Raw genomic sequence first — 22786 nt, forward strand, 5'->3', positions numbered from 1 at the left:
ATAAGTGAGTGTGTTCCGACTGCTCCACCAATCAGCTATTCCCCTGTCTCTCTTCTCCTTGGGCCTCTCTATTCCCTGAGACACAATATTGAAATTAGGCCAATTAATAACACTACAATAGCCTCTAAGTGTTCTAGTGAAAGGAGTAATTTTGCATCTCTCACTTTCAATTAAAAGCTAGAGACGATTGAGCTCAGTGAGGAAGGCATGTTGAAAGCCGAGATGGGCCAAAAGCTAGGTCTCTTGTGCCAACCGTTAACCAAGTTGTGAATGCAGAAGAAAAGTTCTTGAAGGAAATTAAAAGTGCTGCTCCAGTGAATGCATGAAAAATAAGAAAGTGAAACAGCCTTATTGCTGATATGAAGACAGTTTTAGTAATCTGTATAGAAGATAAAACTAGCCACGACATTCCCTTAAGCCAAAGCCTAATCCAGTGTAAGGCCCTAACTCTCCTCAATTCTGTAAAGGTTGAGAGAGGTGAGGAAGCTGCAGAATAAAAGTTGGAAGCTAGCAGAGCCTGGTTCAGGAGGTTATAAAAGATGCGATCTCCATAATATAAAAGTGCAGGGTGAAGCAGCAAGTGCTGGTGGAGAAGCTGCTGCAAGTTATCTAGAAGATCTAGCTAAGATCAATGATGAAAGTGGCTACACTAAACAACAGATTTTTGATATAGGTGAAATGGCCTTCAGAAAAAGGAAAAAGATCAGATGGAAGAAGGTGCCATCTTTCATAGCTAGAAAGGAGAAGTCAATGCCTGGCTTCAAAGCTTCAAAGGACAGGCTGAATCTCTTATTAGGGGCAAGTGCAGCTGATGACTTTAAGTTGAAGCCAGTGCTCATTTACCATTCCCCAAATCCTAGGGCCCTTAAGAAACATTTTAAATCACTTCTGCTTATGCTCTATAAATGGAACAACATAGCCTGGATGGCAGCACATCTCTTTATAGCATGGTTTACTGAATATTTTAAACCCATTTTTGAGACCTACTGCTTAGAAAAAAGTCTTTTCAAATTTTATTGCTCACTACAAATAATAACAATAAATAAAAAATAAAAAGGCTGGGTGCAGTGGCTCATACCTGTAATCCCAGCACTTTGGGAGGCCAAGGTGGAAGGATGACTTGAGTCCAGGAATTCAAGACCAGCTTGGGCAACGTAGGGAGACCCTGTTTCTACAAAATAATAATAAAAAAATTTACTGCTTATTGACCAATGCACCTGGTCACCCAAGAGCTCTGATGGAGGTGCACAAGGAGATTAACGTAGTTTTCATACCTGATAACACAGTTCTGCAACTGACAAATCAAGGGGTAATTTTGGCTTTAAAGGCTATAGCTGCCATAGACAATGATTCCTCTGTTGGATCTGGGCAAAATGAATTGAAAGTCTTCCGGAAAAGATTCACCATTCTAGATGTCATTAAGAACACTTGTGATTCACAACATTAACAGGAGTTTGGAGGAAGTTGATTTCAACCGACATGGATGACTTTGAAGGGCTTAAGATTTCAGTGAAAGAAGTCACTCCAGATGTGCTATAAATAGCAAGATAATTAGAATTAGAAGTGAAGCCTGAAGATGTAATTGAACTGTTGCAATCTCATAAAACTTGAATGGGTAAGAAGTTGCTTCTTATGGATGAACAAAGAAACTGGTTTCTTGAAATGGAAACTACTTGTAATAATGCTGTGAAAATTGTTGAAATGACAACAGTGTTTAGAATATTACATACATTTAGTTGATAAAGCCATGACAGGATTTGACAGGATTGGATATGATTTTTTTTTTTTTTGAGACAGTGTCTTGCTCTGTCACCAGGCTGAAGTGCAGTGGCGTGATCTCGGCTCACTGCAACCTCTGCCTCCCAGGTTCAAGCGATTCTCCTGCCTCAGCCTCCCGAGTAGCTGGGACTACAGGTGGGTGCCACCACGCCCAGCTAATTTTTGTATTTTTAGTAGAGACGGGGTTTCACCATGTTGGCTAGGATGGTCTTGATCTCTTGACCTCGTGATCTGCCTGCCTCGGCCTCCCAAAATGCTAGGATTACAGGCGTAAGCCACTGCACCTGGCCAACTGAATACAATATTTAAAGAAGTTCTACTGTGGGTAAAATACTACCAAACAACAGCACATGGTACAGAGAAATATTTCAGGAAAGAAAGAGTCAATCAATGAGGCAAACTTCACTGTTGTCTTATTTTTAGGAACTACTACAGCCACCCCAACCTTGAGCAACCATCACTCTGATCAATCAGCAGCCATCAACATTGAGACAAGACTCTCCACCAGCAAAAAGATTATGACTTGTCCGGGTGCGGTGGCTCACACCTGTAATCCCAGCACTTTGGGAGGCTGAGGCAGACAGATCATCTGAGGTCAGGAGTTCGAGACCAGCCTGACCAACATTGTGAAACCTGTCTCTACTAAAAATACAAAAAATTAGCCGGGCATGGTGGTAGGCACCTATAATCTCAGCTATTTGTAAGGCTGAAGCAGGAGAATTGCTTGAACCTGGGAGGTGGAGGTTGCAGTGAGCCGAGATCACATCATTGCACTCCAGCCTGGGCAACAAGAGCAAAACTCCGTCTAAAAAAAATATATATATATATATGACTCACTGAAGGCCCACATGATCATTCGCAATTTTTAGCCATAACGTATTTTTAAAATTAAAGTATATACATTGATGTTTTAGACATAATGGCATTGTACTCTTATTAGACTACAGCATAGGGTAAACATAACTCCTCTATGCACTGGGAAATAAAAAAATCTGTGACTCACTTTATTGCGACATTTGCTTTAGTGCGCCAGTTGGAACCAAGTCTGCAATCTCCCAGAGTATGCCTGTGTATAGTAATAATAATCACATACATGCCCTGAGGTGGTTGCAGGATAATGGGGCAGATTTCATGGTGGGCTTCCAGAATTCATTTTATGTTTGTGGTTTGCTTCACATGACTACACTTATGAATGGAATCTCCATGAGACAAGGGTCTTTGTTTCACTCCCTGCTGTGTCTGAACTCTTAGAATGGTGCTCAGCACACACAAAGGGTGACTTGGTGGCTGAGTGCATCTTCCCTAGTTCATTTGTGTGTATATATATATGATAGTAGTTATATGGTGACATGGGAAAGAACATTGGGCAAGGAAGTAGAACTGGATTTGAGCTCCGCCCTGATTTACCTTACTATTTGGGTGAACTTGGCCAGTTACTTTAATCCTTATGAGCCCCAATTACCTCATCTGTGGAATGGAGCAGTTACTGTGCTCCCTCTCTGGGGTCTTATAAGAATTTAATGCCAATGGGCTGTGAGAGAGCTATGTAAACTCTGAAGCGCATTATTTGATTAAAAGCTCTGGCTCATATGGCTGCCTTAGTTGTAAGAAATAGAAGCTTGCAAAGAAACAGCAGTGAGGTCTTACTATCAGGATGCACATAGCAAAAAAGGAAGCTAAGACTCTGACTTGTCCTGAGAGCCTTCAAAGAGTTGAAGTGAGGCACAGTTCAGGGATGGGAAGGTTCTGAGGCTTTTCTACTGACAGGATCATTTTGGGCCCTCAGTTGGAGTTTGCAGACATACTATTTTAAGGTAATATAACATCTCCTAATATTTGCCTTTACCTTTCCTACTTTGATTGACATCCTTCCTGCCTCCGTTTCCTGCTCCCCTGTGTATTTTTCTCCTCCTCAGGGCTCCTGCTTCTGCATAACTTCAGCTTAGTTATAGCCCTTAGGACTTAGGATCTGTCCAGCATGTATTCCAGATCAAATTCCTAAGAGATAATCTGACAGGCTCCATTGATTCCATTTTCTCTTTTTTAGCTGAGCTTTTTCCACCAGGATGCCTCATGGGTCAGTGTCCACCCTGGTTCAATCACCTGTGGCTAGGGGATAAGTCTGTGGCTTCACTGTACACTGTCTTGGATCACTCACTCTTGGGAAACCAGCCACCATGTTATGAGGACACTCAAGTTCTCTGTGAAGAGATCCATGTGATGAGGAACTGAGATCTCCTGCCAACAGCCGGAACCAACTTTCCAGTCATGAGTGAGATCTTAAAAGTAGATCCTCCAGCCCATAGTGAAGCCTTCAGTTGGTTTATCCCCAGCTGACACCCTGACTGCAACCTCATCAGAAACCCTGATCCAGAATTTCCCAGCTAAGCTGTGCCTGAATTCCAGACTCACAGAAACTGTGAGAGATAATAAAAATTGATTTAGGCCTCTAAGTTTTACAGGAATTAGTTGTGTGGCAATAGATAACTAATACTGGGCGGGTGTTGAGAAAAATAGACATACCTTGCATGGTCCCAGGTGAAATGTTACAAGATCCTCAAGCAAAGGAAGATTAGTTTCCTAGACACAGAAGGAGGTGCTCCTCCTTTCTATGAAAAAGAGACTCAGAAAGACAGGGGCTTAGGGTTTTTAGCATCATCTGAGTCCACCCATATATCCTTATTTTATATCCAGGGTCCCACTCTTTCCTAATCAATGCCTTAACATATGAGACTTGGTGGTCTGACAATTCAACTTAAGTTGTGATTCAGTAACTCACAATTAGGTTTTGCATTCGGTTTTTGTTGAGATAGTATCTGCAGTTATAAGAAATAATAATTAAAGCTCTCTGGTTCTCTGACCATGACTTAAGGTGAGCATTAAAGCCTTGAATTTGTTGATTTTCTTAATCTCTTCAGTTCAGGTAGATATAGCTGTCCCACTATATGGTCCTTGAAGTCGTTGTCATACCTTTAACAGTCAAGTGCAGCAGCCACTTGGTCCCCAAGGCAATTGCTTCAGTAGGCAATCTATCATGATCAATTGTGGGTGATAATTTTATTAATTATGATGCCACTGCCTACTATGGGTTGCTACTACTAACATCCCATTTCTCAAACACTCCACAACTGCATTTAAGGCCAAGATCATGACAAAAGCAATCCCAGAATGCTATCTGAAGACCATTTTCTGGGATCACTCCTGATATTAAATATTGGATCAGTCAGAGTCAAGTCAGGGAAAAAAGGTTGTATTAGTTTTCTCTAAATTAAATTATCTCTTTCAAAGGGACCTAAAGGCAAAAAGGAAACACAAAGGTATCAAAATGCAGTACCCTTAGTGCTTGCTATGGTTTAAATGTATGTGTCCTTCCAAAATTCATATGTTGGAACTTAACTCCCAAATTGATGATACTGAGGTGGGGCCCTTAGGGGATGATTAGGTCATGAGGGTTCCACCCTTAGAGATGGGATTAGTGCCCTTATAAAAGGGCTTCAGGGAGAGAGTTCATCCCTGTTTTGCCTTTCTGTCCCTTCTGCCATGTGAAGGCACAGTGTTTGTTCCCTCCAGAAGACACAGCAACAAGACGCCATCTTGGAAGCAGAGAGTGAGCCCTCACCAGACACCAAATCAGCCAGCACCTTGATCTTGGACTTCTCAGCCTCCAGAGCTGTAATAAATAAATTTGTATTATTTCTTAATTACCCAGTCTAAGATACTTTGTTATAGCAGCCTGATTAGACTAAGACAGGGCTTGAGAAACAAAGTTACAAAGATGGGGTTTTTGGAACCTAGATTCTTGGAGGATGGGCCCTATGGAAGTGGGACTGAGAACTCAGAAGGGTATGCTGCCAGCTGGTGCTGTTACATGTTGCTGCTGCAGTGGAGGGCCATCACCAGAGTGATGCCAACAGGACAGTGCAAAACAGAAAAGAGCAAGTTATTTTTCCCTCCTCCAGCTTTCCAATCTCCCTCAAGTGTCCTCCACATCAGTGGCTCCTAACAGGAAGCTATCTGGCAAAGAAGGAATTCATTTGCAGAGTCTCAGCCCCACATCACAGAAGGAAGTATAGACGAGTAGGCATGTTCCTGAGAAGCAATTGTTTAATAAGCTTACCTGTTGGAGGCATGGCATCTGAAATCCCTAATCAGGATGCTGATGTACTAGGGTAACCCTACCATAAGAGAATTTTACTTAAGACTGGGGTTTCCAAACACCACATGTTCTCACTCATAAGTGGAAGGGGAACAATGAAAACACATGGACACAGGGAGGGGAACATCACACACCCAGGCCTGTCGGGGGTGGGGGGCCAGGGGAGGGATAGCATTAGGAGAAATACCTAATGTAGATGATGGGTTGCTGGGTGCAGCAAGCCACCATGGCATGTGTATACCTATGTAACAAACCTGCACATTCTGCACAATGTACCCTAGAACTTAAAGTATATTAAAAAAGACTGGGTTTCCCCAAAACACCGCTTGGAACCCGAGGACAAGAATATAGGAGAGACTCCAGGCTATTGTGTTTTCTTAATCCGCCCACCGATGGCTTTCTCCACCTTCCTTCTGCTCCCAATGCTGGCTCTGCAGACCATGTAAGCTCAGCTAAGAGGAGGCTAACTCTGCACACACTTACATCAATGCATACCCCAATTAGAGCCCTAAAGAGTATATGACATGGGACCATCTTTGTACTGTTAAGTAGCCTTAGCAGGCTTTCTTTCTTTTGTTAGCACTTAAACTTCCTTATCTCATTAGCACAGTCTTCTGGAGGGAGAAGAACTAATTAGAGAACCTGGGTGACTTTGCCTCATACCTCCAACCTTTCCCAAACATCTGCCTTGCCTGCTAGAGAGAGCCAGAGCCTGCTGCTAGCCAGCTTTCTCTTTTGAGAAACCATCAAAAACATTTGCAAATAAATGTGATTGCCTTAAAATGCAGGAAAGAAGCACATTTTCCAATTACAAGCCTGGGTGATTGCTCTGGCTTGTTTAATTAATGGAGAGTGCATCTGTTTTCGGGGGCCTTTTTGAATGTGTTTTCTGGAGTTCCTTAATTAGTTACAAAAAGCTGCAGGTGTACTGGCAGGGGAGAACAGTAAAGCTGGGATGTATTCCAGAAGAGAGAATCTTTTTTAATGTAAATATTTAGTCATATGATGATGAGGTTCATTTTAAAGTTCTCTTTCCTATTTGGTCTGTGTGAAATGGTGTTGGAAGATATATTCGGGCTTCATTTGGATTGTTGACAGAATAAATTGAAACGGAAGAGACTAATTTTCATTATGACAGACACTTATATGCAGTTAGACCATTACCAGAATGACAAGTTATTCTCGTGTTGTCAGTGTGAGACTACTGCCTGGCTTTTCAGGCAAAAATGCTTGCAAAGATGATGAGTGGTTGCCTACTAATTCTGAGAACTGTTACACGGTGGAACCCAGGGGGCAGTGAGGGAGGTTTTGTCCTCCTGGTAAGTAAAGATTTTCTTGGATGTGTTGGAAAGGTTTACCCTTCTGTAACAATTTATGAAAAACGAGATGTTGCCTCTTATGGCAGTAATTACCACCTCTGGATCTGAGATATGATATTACCAATTGAAAGTTGCTCAAGGCTGAGTTTAGTCTGTGATGATAGAATGTGTGGGTGTTAGAGGATTAGGACTGTGCACTCTGATCAACTATAGAGGGCTGGGCAAACTGTGGCCCACAATCTGTTTTTTTAAATAAAGTTTTATTGGAACACTTTTACTCCTATTTGTTTACATACTGCCACCATGGCAGAGTTGAGTAATTGCAGCTGCCTAAAATATTTATCATCTGTCTCCTTATAGAAAAAGTTTGCTGACCTCTGGATTGTAAGTACACTGTGGTCTATGGAATGAAGCCTGAGGAGAGGGGCTGTGGCTTCTAATGCTTTATTTGTAGATCTATATGTTGGAGCTAAAATTTCCTATTCTTTATGTCTTAAAGTACTGTGTGTGGCATATTGGTTGAACATTTTTTCGAATGAATTTTTTTTTCACTAAAAAACATACCATATAATTGAGAAAGTGGAAAATATGTCTTCATTTTTGCCTTGATGCTCTCTATGTTATGAACAAAGATTAAGTGATTCACTGAAACAAAACAACTTGAATTAGGCACTTCTGTTTTCCATCATGGCTCCACTTCTGCATCATCTGTAGCATTTACAAGATGAAAACTCAGTTTCATTCTAGGAGAGATGGACATGTAAGTCTCTCCTGGTGGCGGTTCACTGCTGCCTCTCACCCATGCATGTCCCGGGTCCAACTTCAGAAGCCTCAGTGCTTCACTCCAGTAACCACAAGAGGAGGCATCTCCATCCTGCAGATCTGAATTTTTTTTTAATGTTTAAATCGCACATCTTTGTTTTTAAGATTTCATAAATCAGGGTTATGTGGCCAGGATTAAAGTTTGAAGGCAAAATTGATTTTAGCAAAGCATCCTGTGAGCATTTAGGCACAGCTTGGTGAGCTGAATTAATGCCTCTCTTTTGTTTAACTCCAGCCGCATCATCATGGTGCCCACATAAATAATGCAATTAAGAAGCTGAGAGAACGGGTCTTATAGAAGCTGCTATTATATAGCTGGGTGACCTTGAACAACTCACCTGCTTCCTCTGGGTTTCATCCACAAATGAAGGGTTTGGGATAGATGGCCTCTAATCCCTGTCTGTTTAAAAAATTTAGTATGCGGAGACTGATTTCTATTATGTGGGTAGTGGAGCGATAGTCTTATTCAACATATTCTTTCTCTTCTAATTCTGCACACCCCGTTAAGTCTGGTCTTTGCCAGGGCCCCTTAGGTGACCAAACAAGGTGGGATTGGCTGGCAAGTAGGGTTGTGCAGTCAGGGCTCTTACAGGTGTGCAAACAACAGAAACTGATTCTTTCAAACTTCAGAAAAGTGACGCGCTGGAAGGATAACAGAGAGCTCACAGAACCGGCAGGAAGGCTGGAGAGCAGCGACTGAGGGAGTGACCCTGGAATAGATGCCGGCTGCAGGTGCTTCTACCTGAACCTCAGCTCAGAACTGCTGCTATTCATTTATGGGAATTAGAAAAAAGTGCCCACTTTGCCACTACAAGCTAGATGTATGAGCTTGGTGAGTCGAGTGTGGGCTGCTAGCCACACCCAGGCACCCTCAAGTAGTGATAATGATAGTCCTGTTCTCCCTCACCACTGCTGGATTGTCATCTCCACTACTGCTGGCTTTGGTAGTCTCCATTGTGCCTGGATTTATGTGTCACCCCCTTTCGATTTAGGGTTCTGCACAAGAGCACTGGTTTGGCTTACTTTGAGCATGGACCAGATGCAAGGAGTGGAGAAGGGGAAATACACATCTCCTTTGGCTGCAATAGTGAGATTTTGGCTGCTGCCTCCCTGTGGTTTGGGTTCCACTCAATTGGAGAAATATTTTCATGCTAGGTAGCCTAACAAAAGACAACAGTATAACTGCAAAGTGTGCAAAGTACAGATGCACAGGTTGTTCACTGCAGAACTGTTTTTTCAGTGAATCACTTACTCTTAGTTCATAGCATAGAAAGCATCAAGGAAAGAATGGAAACATATTTTTCATTTTCTCAATTACACAGTATGTTTCTTAGTGAAAAAATACAAAAATTCATTGAAAAAAATCTTCAACCAATATGTCCCACACAGCACTCTAAGAGATAAGGAGTAGGAAGTTTTAGCTTTAACTTACAGGTCTGGAGACAGAGGCCTGGAAAAAGGACAAGAGAAGCCATAGCCCCTCTCCTCGAGCTTTGCCCTATAGAGCACAGTGTCCTTATAATTCAGAGGTCAGTAAATTCAACCCTACCCTTCCCTCCCCTCCCCTTCTTTTCTTTTCTTTTTTCTCTTTTCTTTTTGAGGCAGAGTCTCCCTCTGTTACCCAGGCTAAGGTGCAGTGGCACAATCATGGATCACTGCAGCCTCAGCCTCCTGGCTCAGGAGATCCTCTCATCTCAGTCTCCTGAGTAGCTGGGACTACAGGTGTGCACCACCATGCCCAGCTAATCTTTAAATTTTTTTGTAGAGATAGAGCCTTGCTATGTTGCCCAGGCTGGTCTTGAATTCCTGGGCTCAAGTGATCCTCCTGCCTTGGCTTCCCAAAGTGCTGGGGTTACAAGCGTAAGCCACCACACCTGGCCTAGCAAACTTTTTCTATAAAAAGACAGATGGTAAATATTTTAGACAGTCACAACTACGCAATTCTGCCACCATGGCACCATACACATTGTACTCTAAATGCATAGTGTCCACTGGGGTTCTGCAGGGCACAGCAGTTGCAACTGTGTAGTAATCAAACTCATTCACCTTCTCTTTCTGGCATTCTGTGAATGCTGACTCAGCAGTCCTCAGTCCCTTTTCTCTTCAGAGAACATCACATCAAATTCAGAATTATACCAACATTATCAATACATTGAGTAGGAACAAAGATTTAATTATTGGCTCCTTAATGTGACTTAGGTTGAAATATGCCAACTGTCATTCAAATGTTTTCACAAATACAAAATGGCAAGTTGATCATTTGCGTGTTTCCAGAGAGTTTGCTTCATTTAGGTGATCTGTCTCTTTTTTCAACCTTTACAAAATTTAGTTTCTTCTGTTCAGAGGAATTTGCTCTGGAAACACCATGGGATGTCATGAAAGAAGTTAATATTTAAACTTGCTGCAGACATGTTTATATTGAATGCTCAATTTTGAATGCCAAAGGAAGGAGAGAGATTTTTAGTGATTTTCATCAACACAAATGCCTTCAACAGTTGTTAAGGGTTTAAAATGAGAGTTTTAAAGGAGACAGTTTTTCCTCCAACTGTCCTACAAAAATCCTGTACTTTGCTCTCCTTGGTTGAGCTGTTTACATTCATTTTCCTGAGTTTAATAACAGAAAATTATTTTCCACTATTTTTTCTAGAAGCCTATGTTTTGACATAAAACCAAGAAGCATTTCCACTTCTTACATTTTAGTTTCCTCACTTCTCAAAGCAAAAGTAGTTCAATTAAATATCATTGGAGGGCTCCTTCGAGGCAGAGACCTTTAGAAATTGCTCTAACCCTTTAACATTTAGAAAAGCATATTTATAGAAGCAGAATGTCTTTGCAGTATGTGCTTGCTGTTCAGAGAGGGAAAAACTCCCTGCACTTTACTTTGAAGAATGAAGTAATTCCATTTCAAAGCTGGCCATTAGGAGTAATGGAGAGGCTGCCCAGATAGAGCCTCAAGTGTCATGGGCCCATCAGACTGGATTCATGTTTAGGTTTTAAATTAACTTCAAGGAGAGGGACCACTTCTGTTTTCACTGGGTTAGGGGAACAAACATCAGGGTAGAGATTTTGGCGGGGGGGTAGATTTTTGAAATCACAAGAGGAAATTTCCTCCATGCTAAGTGGGGGAGTGTGTACCCCATCCATCCTCTCATTCTCCTACTTATCCATCCTCCCTCTTTCATCCAGCTCTTCAGTTGTCCCAGAATTTATTCAATAAAGTTTATTGAGCACTTACTGTGTATCAGCTCATATATGGGAATAGTGCAGAGAAACACGGAATGCCAGAAAAACAGATTCAGGGACAGCAAGGGATAAAAGGGAGGGAGGGGAAGGAAGTATAGCAGGGTGGAGCTAGGGAGGTGGTGACAGCAAGAGGAAGTGGGTCTGATGTATTTTTACATCAGCATTTTAAGCTTTTTCAGATTCACCCTCCAATTACTTGATGCGGTTTCTCTGCTGTGTAGAATTTCCATGACCAACTGCATAGACGCCAGGGCCTGCTTGGGGGTGGAGGTTGGGAGGAGGGTGAGGATTTAAAAAGCACCTATTTGGGCCAGGCGCAGTGGCTCACGCCTGTAATCCCAACACTTTGGAAGGCTGAGGCAGGCAGATCACTTGAGGTCAGGAGTTCGAGGCCAGCCTGGCCAACATGGTGAAACCCCGTCTCTAATAAAAATACAAAAATTAGCCTGGCATGGTGGTGCATGCCTGTAATCTCAGCTACCCGGGAGGCTGAGGCAGGGGAATCGCTTGAACCCAGGACGTGGAGGTTGCAGTGACCGAGATCACCCCACCACACTCCAGCCTGGGTGACAGAGTGAAACTCCGTCTCAAAAAAAAAAAACCCACAAAAAACAAAAAACAAGCCAAACCCGCCCCCCCGCAAAACAACAACAATAAAACCACCTATTTGTTACTAAGCTCATTACCCGGGTGATGAAATAATATGTACACTAAATCCCTATGACATGCAATTTACTCATGTAACAAATCTTCGCATGTACCCCTTGAACCTGAAATAAATGTTGGAAGGAAAATGAAAATATACACATAAAACAACAATCATAACAATAAAAACCCTAAATATACATTGACACCAGGGACTATGCTGGGCCTTGGTATATAGTGGTGGAAAAAGAAAAAGACATGTTCTCTGGCCTTGATGGAGTTTACAGCCTAGTGAGGAACAAATACAAGCAAATCAATATCTATTTATAGTTGTGATACAGGCCACAGAGGAAAAGTGTGAAAGTGCAGTGATGATTTATTGAACATTCATTGCAAGCCAGGTACTGTTCTAGGTGCTTAAATGTGTCATATCTCATTTATTCCTCAAAACAAACCTATTTTATTTCCGTTTTTACAGACGAGGAAACTGAAATACAAAACCGTGAGCATGGGGAGACTTTGTTGTGATCAGAGAAGGCATCCTGAGGAACACACACGTGAATAGGGGTTAGCTAGGCGAAGACAGGGGAGGAATGTTCTGGGCAGAGGTAATGAACAGCTCGTGTGAAAGTCCTGGGGCAGGAAAGAGCCATGGAGAAAGTCAGTCAGCCAGTGAGGGGCCTGGAAAGGAATGGATGATGACATCAGGATAGGGTGGGCAATGGAGGGCGTTGTAGGCTGGGCAGGGAAGAGGTAGGTGGTCATTATAGGAAGAATGGGGTGGCACTGAGGAGGTTCGGCAGGGATAGTGTGAAGCACAGCTCCAAGCAGAAGCCCTGAAATAGAAATATAGTTCTTGGCTGTCTGTCCACTTGTGGCTGACAAGCTCTCTCTGTGGTGTCTAAGCTTGCTGCAGGATGACACCTCCAACAATTCATGTTTTGCAGATTATAGTTTCCTCATTATTTGAAAATACTTAATGTTAAAAGGCTGGGTTGAATTTGAAAAACTTTTGCATTATTACAAGAAATTTCCACATGCCAAAGAGCTATTAGATCCTTTAAGTATAACTTCAACAATTTTGGAATTGTTAAAATATTAAAAATGTTTCATTGTTACCTGTGCATACAAGTTTTCCCATGGATGATGACCACTGGGAATTTGGAGAAATCATCATTAACAAGTCTTTATCAGAAATTGCGTGGTCATTTCAAGCATAAAATATAATGCAAAAAAGTTACATTTACCAAAGCAAGCCCAAGCTTCTTAATTAAAACATTAAAAATATTTTAAACGGAGAGCTTATAAATTTTTTGCTTCCCGCAGAGATCCCTCAAGGGGAAGCCAGGGCCTCCTGTCCAGTGGGGCCTCAACAGGAAAACACACCACTGTGGGAGCCGGTGTCCTTGCGGCTCTCAATAACCACGCCTCCTTCCACACGGCCCTCTCCAGGTTCCCAAAGCAGGCTGTCTGTTCTTGTTCCTAACGGTAGGGGTCATCATTTCCCTTTTGTAATTTTTTGGAGACCAAAGCCAGTGCCTTCACAGGCTTAACTATATTTTTCCTTTTTTTTTGTTTATGGCATTAATCCTGAGGTTAGGGTCGGCCTGTGGTGAGCAATAATACATTTACCCTTTGACTTCGTGCACTAAGATGTAATTGATCATTTGAGGTCTCATTTGCAGGAGCTGGGAGCCTTAGTTCAGTTTAAGATAAATGGAGACAGGAGGACCCTTGTTTTAGTGATGTGTTGAAGAGAGCAAAGCACAGATATGACTGACTTATTTTATGAATTCCACTATCCCTCTCATCTTTATTTAAAAGCAAAAAAAATTTTTCTTTCACTAAGTGATTTGTTATTTAACATTTTATAGCCAGAGTCAGATCCTGGTGAGGGTAATTTCCCTTAGAATGCACATTAGTGTCTAGTTGGTAAATAAACTTGAGGCATTTTTATATTAGGCATAAAATAAAGATGAAAACGTTGACTTCTAAACCAAACCATAGCATAGAATTCTACATGGCACATGCTGTGTTGCTCCTTTGATTATAATTTTGTTGCCGCTTCCATTACAAAACAATTATCCAATGCATTTTAACTCGAACATAAAGAGCCATTTCTGGTGAAATGACAGTAACCGAAACTATTTGTTGAAAGCCTACTCAACCAACAAACAACATCATCTCTTCTGTAATCTTAATCTTCACAATGTTCCTGAAAAGTAGGTATCACTAGATTTGATAGACAACGAGACTGTGCCAAAGAGAAAAAAGGAAAAGATAAAATGACAAAACTAATAAGGGGGTAGAACTAAAATTCAAACCCATGTCTCAGACACTCAAAAGGCCCCTGATCTTGCCATGATACCACTTTGGGTTCTGAATGCTTTTATGAATGCTTTGCCTTTCCCTCTTATTTTTTTTTCTTTCCCTCTTTTTCATTTTCCTTTTTGGTTTGTTTTTCTTGTTTGCCAGTTTGAGGCTCTAGACATAAGATCTTTTCAATTCACACAAATAATGTGTGTCTGGACATTAATTTGGCCTGAGACTTAAGGAACATCCTTAGAGTAGTCTAGTTAGTTTCTTTCTCCTCCTAAGAGGGAAACAGTATGTGCTCAGTATATTTTTAATCTTCTCAGTGGATGCAGCAGCCAATTGAATTCTTCAGGGATTTAGTTTCTTCTGCCCATGGGGCATTCTCCCTTTATCCTTGAGCAACAAAACTGGTTATTGAAAGAGAACCTTGGCCCAGCAGGTCCTGGGGTAAGTAAAGAGCCCCAGATAAAGAAGTTTATCCCCTGAATGACTGGCCTATATCAGGCCCCTGGGGAGTTCCCATTTAATGCCCTTGATTGGACCACCCTGACGCTCAGGAGTCTGTGATGGGGCTCTACAGATGTAATGACTGCATGGGGCTTTCTGCAGGGTTGTCTCATCCAGGTATCCCAGGATGATTCTGGTCTGTGGCCAAGCAGATGCCATCTTCATGAATTCTTGCTTTTTTGCATAGTGGGGAGAGTGGGGCAGAGGACTCCCCATTCTTCCATAGTTAATGCTTTTCCCATCTCAGAGAACAGCCTGCCTAACTGTCCTCCCTCTGAGGCCAATTTCAGGTTCAGACATTGAGGCTCTGCATCCAACTGTGTCCTTGGAGGAACACAAGATGCCAACTCTTCTTTCCTCCTGCCCCTTGCCACTAGAGTCCCAGGAGTGTCTCCATTTGTAATGAAACTCTAGGATATAAGAGTTCACAATCTTATATAGTATTATTTGATTATTTAAATTTGTTAAATATTTGTCTTTCTTTGCAGCTAATTTATATAGTGCATGCTATAAGGTAAACCTGTTTCCCTACTTCCTTGGATAGAGGTCAGAAGAAACTCATTGATGTTCCGTAGGGTATGAACCTGCTGAACACTGTAAAAATAATACAGAATTATAAGGTGCAATACAGAATAGGAAATGTGCAAAGTGCCTTCCGGGACTCCATGAATAGGCATTTAACAAGGAGTAAACTGAGGCTCACAGACATTAGGGGATTTGTCTAGGTCACACAGCTAGGTCCTCAAACGAGAAAATAGGCTGGAACAGCCTGGAGAAGAGAATTTTCAAGAGAAAGAGAATCTGATTAAAGTTCATATAACTACTAAGGAAATGGAGGGAGTGAGCATGATCCTGTTGAATGATGCTTGGAAGATCTTTTCATATATATATATTGAAATGGAGTCTTGCTCTTGTCGCCCAGGCTGGAGTGCAGTGGCACAATCTTGGCTCACTCCGACCTCTATCTCCCGGGTTCAAATGATTCTCCTGCCTCAGCCTCCCAAGTAGCTGGGATTACAGGCATGTGCCACCATGCCTGGCTATTTTTTTTTTTTTTTGTGGAGACCAGATTTCACTATGTTCCCCAGGCTGGTCTTGAACTTCTGACCCCAGGTGATCCGCCCTCCTTGGCCTCCCAATGTGCTGGGATTACAGGTGTGAACCACCACGCCTGACCCTTTTCTCATCTTTTAATATGAACTTGGCCTTCAGGTCCCAGCTCCAGTATCCTAAGCCTTCCTTTACACCCTTCTAGATGGAGCTAATCACTGCTCCTTGGTTTTCCGTGACACTGGATTCTTAAGGATCCTTCTTAGAGCATCCAACTCACTATTGTGTTATTGTCCTCTGTGTTAGTCAGGGTTCTCCAGAGAAACAGAAACAAGATGTGTGTATACAGAAAGGTTTACTTGAAAGAATTGACTCATGTGACTGTGGAAACTTGGTGAGCTTAAAATCTGATGGGTAGGCTGGAGACCCAGGGAAGCAGGGAAGAGTTTCAATTTGAGTCCAAAGGCTGTCTGCTGGCAGAATTCCTTCTTATGTAGCGGAAGTCCGTCTTTGTTCTATTCAGGACTTCAACGGAGTGGATGAAGCCCACCCACATGGCTGTCTGCTTCACTCAGAGTCCACTGATTTAAATGTTAATCTTATCCCAAACACCATCGCAGGAATATCCAGAATAATGCTTCATCAAATATCTGGGTGCTGTGGTCCAGGCAAGTTGCCACATAAAATTAACCATCACATCCCCATTCCTGGGTCTGTCTTCACTGCTAGACTGTGGGGTCCTCTGGGCCAGGGACTGTCTTTTATCTTTCTTTCCAGCACTCAGAAAGAACATACAGCAGGTACTCAATACATTCATTTTGATTTGAAAAAAAACAAACAAAATAAACAAACACCCCAAATTGCTTTCAAAAAAGTATTCCTTTTATTCCTACTGCAATTCTCTGCATTCCCCTACTCTTTAATAAGAGGAAACAGAGGCTTAAGGAAATATACCCACGATCACAAACCAGATAAGTGGCAGAGTTCTAGGCTGTGTGCTTTTTGCACTATATAGCACAATGTCCTTTGATTTGATAAAAATGTCAGAGGAGGTGGTCCGGGGTCTGGGGTATTCTGAATCAATGTCTTACAGAAACTGTTATTCAAAATCTAGCCCAACTGTGCTCAGCAACAATGAGAATTTTATTAAGACCTATCATTTGCCTATTAAAATCAATCAGTTATTTTCTGAACAGCTGCTAAATGCCTGTCCTTGACTGGAGACAGGTGATTGATGTATTTCCCTATCCCTCTATTCCTCCATTTCTCAATTCCTCCATCTTCTCCTCCCTCTCTCTCTCCAGCCAATACTTACTGAACATCTACTATGCACCAGGCCCCGGGGGAGGTGCTGGGGCCACAGCGAAGGCTAAGACCTGGTCCTGTTCTCAAGATGCTCATAGTCAGGGTGGTGGTGGGGGGAAGCAGGTGTGTCATCCACTAGCCACAAGGGCTCAACTGCAGCACCCATCTCTAGAGGCAGGGAAGCCTGTGAGCATCATAATGGCTATGATCCCAGCAGGGACTTGGGATCCAGTAGGAATGCCTGTGGGCAGTGAGAATGACCTCTGGGATTCTCAGGCATGTCACAGGCAGGAGAAAGAGAATGAAGGAGATGTGCTATCCTTTGCCCTTTATTTGAGTCTGAGAAAGGCCACATATCTTTGCCAAGGGCAGCATTGCCCTCTGACAGCCTGATCTTTTTAGCATTTTTATCATCATCACCATCATCAATTATTATATGAATATTTATTATCAGATATTCAGAATCATTTGGTTGTAGCAGGCTATTTGGAGCTTCCCTTTCCTTCCATTTTTCTTCCCTTCTCAGCTCCTAACCCCAAAGCCACATGGAGACAGTTACCTAATTACTCTCAATTGAGTTCTCTTTTCAGTGTTTCTTTTTCATGGACAGCTCCACCTGCAAAGCCTGGTGGGTGGAAGGTAGCTTTCATCCACATCAGCCTTACAAGGACCTCTGAACCTTCTCACACACTCTTCTATGTGCTTGGCACACTCTTCCTTTTACATGGCTCTTCCTCATCCTTTTATGTCCTAACTCAGATGTCACCTCTTTGGAAAGACTATTCCTCTACCCCTCCCAATCGGCAGTAGCTCCTTTCCCATTTGCTTCTCACTGCCTCTTATTGTCTGGTTTATTTAATTGTGTAAGGCCTCCCCCACTAGAATACAAGCTCTGTGAGGGCAGTGACATTGTCTGTCTTCTTCAATGTGCTGAGAACAGTGCCTTGCATGTACAGAGTATTCCATTCAGTATTTATTGAATAACTGCAAGAATGGTCGAAGCCACATATCCTGTCACTGCATGGCTCAGCACCTCTGACCCCCTGTCCCTGCTAGAACAGCCTTATGACAAGTGACTCATTACTTCCCACTCCTCATTCAGGTGGTTCTGATTCAGGACCCTTCATGGACAGCAGAACTTTGAATAGAGGTTTTCCAGCCATGCTGAGCCATCCATCCTGAACTCTTTGGCACCTTCCTATGGGTTGGGTGGTGATGTACCCTTGCTGTCTCCTGCCCACATTCCCAACTAGACTATGAGCTTCTCAAGGCCTTGACATGCTATTTCATATCTCTGACAGCACTAGGTGTTCAGAAAATACCTGTAGGTTATCCAGTTGTGACTGTTTTAAAACCTGTAACTGTCCAGATTTGGATAGAGTCAAGCAGCTCTCTGATCATCCCCCATCTACAAGTGACAAACTCCTAATAGTATAGTGGAGTGAATAGGAATTTGATCTTGGGAGTCAGTCAGTTTGGATATAAGTTCCAGCTCTGCTACTGTGACTTCAGGGCAAGTAACTTAACCTATCTGAGACTCAATTTCCTCATCTGTAAAATGGGCATAATAATAGTGCCCATTTTCAAGAGCTCATGAATGGAGGAAGGTGTCCTGGACATGTCTGGAGAGCCAGAAGGGTGGGGAAGAATTACTTTCAAGCTGTTGCTGTATTACAAACGCTTATTGAATATGGTGGACTCTTAAGAGCAGGAAGAATCTTGCTGCTGGTGGGTGGCAGAGGATGGTGATGGGACAGGAACAATATGAATATGACAAAAATCACAATAAGGACTGTAGAGGGTTGCTCTGCCTCACAGGGTCATGCAGATTTGGGAGTCTCAATCACAGCCTTGGAACTCCAGGCAAAGGGTAGACTGTGCTAAGCTGCCTGCTCTGTTTAAAAGAGGTGACCTCTATAATAATCTTAGAAATGTTTCCACCAAGAATAATTAAAATAAAAACACATATGTAGACTCATACTCACATAAACTGGCATGTAAACTGAAACTTTTAAATCTACCAGATCGTGAAATCTTTGAGGGGCAAGATTGATGAAGGTTAATCATGGGATCCCTGTTGCCTGCAAGGCACCAGACACAGCCTAAGCACTTAGGAGATGTGCTTGGTTGAATAAATGAATCTGGAGGCTGGAGGTGGTGACTCACACCTCTAATACCAACACTTTGGGAGGCCAAGGCAGGAGGATCGCTTGTGGCCAGTCTGGGCAACATAGGGAGACCCCCATCTCTATAAAATAAAAAAATTAGCCGAGCATGGTGGCATATGCCTATAGTCCTAACTACTTCGGAGGCTAAGGCAGACGGATTGCTTGAGTCCAGGAGTTCAAGGCTGCAGTGAGCTATGATTGTGCCACTGTACACCAGCCTGGGAGACACAGTGAAAACTTGTCTCTGAAAAAATTAAAATAAATAGTATAAAACAAACGTGGAACTTGATTTTTGAGAAGTATGTAATTCTTATGCTCCTATCTTCTCATATTTGAGAAGTATGTGCTTCCTATATAATTCCTATAGTAGCAGTTACTCATGGTGGGAGGATTCAACTTGGTAGAAGGATTATCTGAGGCATGGGCCAGGTAGCAGATGGGCTGGGTGTCAGAGCAGGGTGCATAACTAGAAGTGTGCTTTTACTCAAACACAGAGGCTAGGGGGAAGCAAGGTGGTTGGGAGAAGCTGCTTTAGAAATCTGGAATTGGGAAAGACCTGCAGAAATCAGTGGTACCAGCTCTTCCTCCTAGCACATGGAAATCTAACACTGATAAATTATTTATTTATTTATTTATTTTTTGAGACAAAGTCTTGCTCTGTCACCAGGCTGGAGTGCAGTGGTGTGATCTTGGCTCACTTGCAACCTCTGCCTCCCTTGTTTAAGCGATTCTCCTGCCTCAGCCTGCCTAGTAGCTGGGACTAGAGGCACATGTCAGCACACCCAGTTAATTTTTTATTTTTAGTAGAGATGGGGTTTCACCATGTTGGCCAGGATGTTCTCGATCTCTTGACCTCATGATCTGCCTCCCAAAATGCTGGTATTACAGGCTTGAGTCACCACACCCAGCCATTTTTTAAAAAAAAATTTTATTTTTATTTATTATGGATGTATATTAGTAGTATATATTTAAGGGGGTATGTGTGATTCTTGATACAAACATATAATGTATAATAAATCATAACAATTGGGATATTCATCATCTCAAGCATTTTTTTTGTGTTAGGAATATCCCAATTCCGCTCTTTTAGTTATTTTGAAATTTACAGTAAGTTATTGTTTACTATAACCCTCCTATTGTGCTACAGAACACTGTTCTAACTGTATTTTTGTTGAAGAGGACACTATAAAATTGAAAGATATTCCATGTTCATGGATTGAAGAATCAGTATTGTTAAAATGTCCATACTACCTAAGGTGATCTATAGATTTCCCAGTTCTTTTTAAAGATCTCCAAGGATAGGGGGCCACCATTTTTTCACTGGTGACTCTTATGACTGACCACTGTCTCTCTTGACGTATTGGGAGCAAACATCTCATTTTTGGGCCCCTAGGAAAATGTAAAGGAGAGCTCAGCATCCTCGAATGCTTCATTGACCTCATTTACTGCAATATCTTTAAAGTATTTTGACCACAGCTGACTAAGACACCCAATGTAGGCCTTACAAATGAGAAGGTTCAACAGGACAGGCAAATCACAGTATTCTGAAAGCTCCATCACCAACTATTAATATTCTGACCCAGCTGGGGTTGTCAGCTCTAGGTGGCTCGGGTGAAATAACCAAATGTTCCAAGGGTCAGTGGAATGTGGCCACGATGTGCTCAACACAGCCAGCCACACTGAGTTTGGAAGGTGAGCTTTTATTTTGATATTTGGGAGGCCACAAGGTAGCTAGGGATTAGGAAAAGGGCTCTAGCACTGGGTATGCAGTATGAATAGTAAGGTCCTCTGGGAAAACTAGGTGAGTGATTGGATTAAACTCAGAATAGTGATTAAAGGAGGGCTCTAATACAAATAGCAATAATTGCAAATGGTCATTAAGTTTTAATGACAAAAATAGCTTTTTGAAAAAAGCACTTGTAATATGCAAGGTATTCTGCTAAGCCCTTTACACATATTATGTCGGTTAATATTCTCACCAAACTATGAGTTGATTATGCCTGTTTTACAGATAAGGAAACTGAGGTATATAGCAGTTTAATAACTTGCCAGGCCCTGTGTTAAAGACTTACTACTAGTGGTTATTAACTCTCAGTGATTTTGTCTCCCAGGGGAGATATGACATTTTTGTTTCTCACAAAAATGCAGACATTTTTGGTTCTCACATGGCATGTGGAGGGTGTTCTATTGACATCTAATAGGTGGAGGCCCAGAATTCTGCTAAATATTCTACAGTGGATAGGACAGTCTGCTACCTGTGACCCCAACAAAAAATAAGCTCAAAATGTCAATAATGCCCGGTTTGAGAAATCTTGCTTTATACGAGTTGTCAAATTTAATTCATTTTTAAAAATTAATTTTAATTTTAATTTTAAGTTTCTGGGTATATGTGCAGGATGTGCAGGTTTGCTACATAGGTAAATGTGTGCTATGGTGGTTTGCTGCACCTATCTACCCATCACCTAGGTATTAAGCCCAGCATGCATTAGCTATTTTTCCTAATGCTCTCCCTCCCCTCACTTCACCCCCCAACAGGCCCCAGTGTGTGTTATTCCCCTCCCCGTGACCATGTGTTCTCATTGTTCAGCTCCCACTTATAAATGAGAACATGTGGTGTTTGGTTTTTTGTTCCTGTGTTAGTTTGCTGAGGATAATGGCTTCCAGCTTCATCCATGTCCCTGGAAAGGACATGATCTCCTTCCTTTCTATGGCTGCATAGTATTCCATAGTGTATATGTACCACATTTTCTTTATCTAGTCTATAATTGATGGGCATTTGGGTTGATTCCATGTCTTTGCTATTATGAATAGTGCTGCAATGAATATATGTGTGCATGTATCTTTGTAATAGAATGATTTACATTCATTTGGGTATATACCCAGTAATGGGATAGTTAGGTCAAATATATATAATTTAATTCTTACAACAACCTTGATGAGTACATTGAGGTTCACAGAGGTGAAGTCACCTACCCAAGGCCACACAGCTAGTGGCAGGGCTGTGGTTTGAAGCTATGTACATCTAATTCCCAAGCCAGTGCTTATACCTACTCAGATGGATGCCTCCAAATAAATTGGTACCCAATTTCAGGGATGGAGGAGACTTGGGCTTGGGAGATTGGATGCTGAAGCACTGTTATGAAGTTGTGGACGTTACCAGGGGTCAGCCACAATTTCGGGCATATCATGGGAGAACAATGGTGAGCTTGGGGAATTGTGTTTTTGTTTGACATCAATTGGAGGGCATGTCAGCACTAAGCATGTTCTGATGGGAGAAGGACATCACATAATGAACTTGGAATGTATGTTGGCTGCACATTTTTTCAATCATTAATTCAGCATTTTTTGGGCACCAACTCTGTGCTTGGTGCTGTGATATAATGGGCAAAGGAGCCAGGCCAACTTCCTGCCCCTATGGAACATGCATTCAAGTGGAGGAGATGGACAATATGTCAACCAACAAATACAGAATAAAT

The 22786-nt window shown here is 42.1% G+C and overlaps 1 long non-coding RNA gene across 2 annotated transcripts in view, besides 1 other annotated feature; it reads left to right on the forward strand.

The window, feature by feature from the left end:
* LOC105371240 (uncharacterized) overlaps positions 1-22786 on the forward strand; it is a 124894-nt gene that overhangs the window by 50755 nt on the left and 51353 nt on the right. The window contains exon 3 of one of the 2 annotated variants that reach the window (NR_188477.1): positions 2203-2781. The exons of the other annotated variant lie outside the window; for it this stretch is intronic. This is a non-coding gene — a long non-coding RNA (uncharacterized LOC105371240). Of the gene's footprint in view, positions 1-2202; positions 2782-22786 lie in introns of those variants that run through there. 2 annotated transcript variants of the gene reach the window in all.
* Positions 13330-13449: a silencer, noted in NCBI's record as "silent region_7458". NCBI's record gives its function as "represses an Ori minimal core promoter by ATAC-STARR-seq in GM12878 lymphoblastoid cells {active_cell/tissue: GM12878}" and the evidence as "EXISTENCE:reporter gene assay evidence [ECO:0000049][PMID:35858748]".

Source organism: Homo sapiens, chromosome 16 (assembly GCF_000001405.40).
Source record: "Homo sapiens chromosome 16, GRCh38.p14 Primary Assembly".
Classification (NCBI taxonomy): Eukaryota; Metazoa; Chordata; class Mammalia; order Primates; family Hominidae; genus Homo; species Homo sapiens.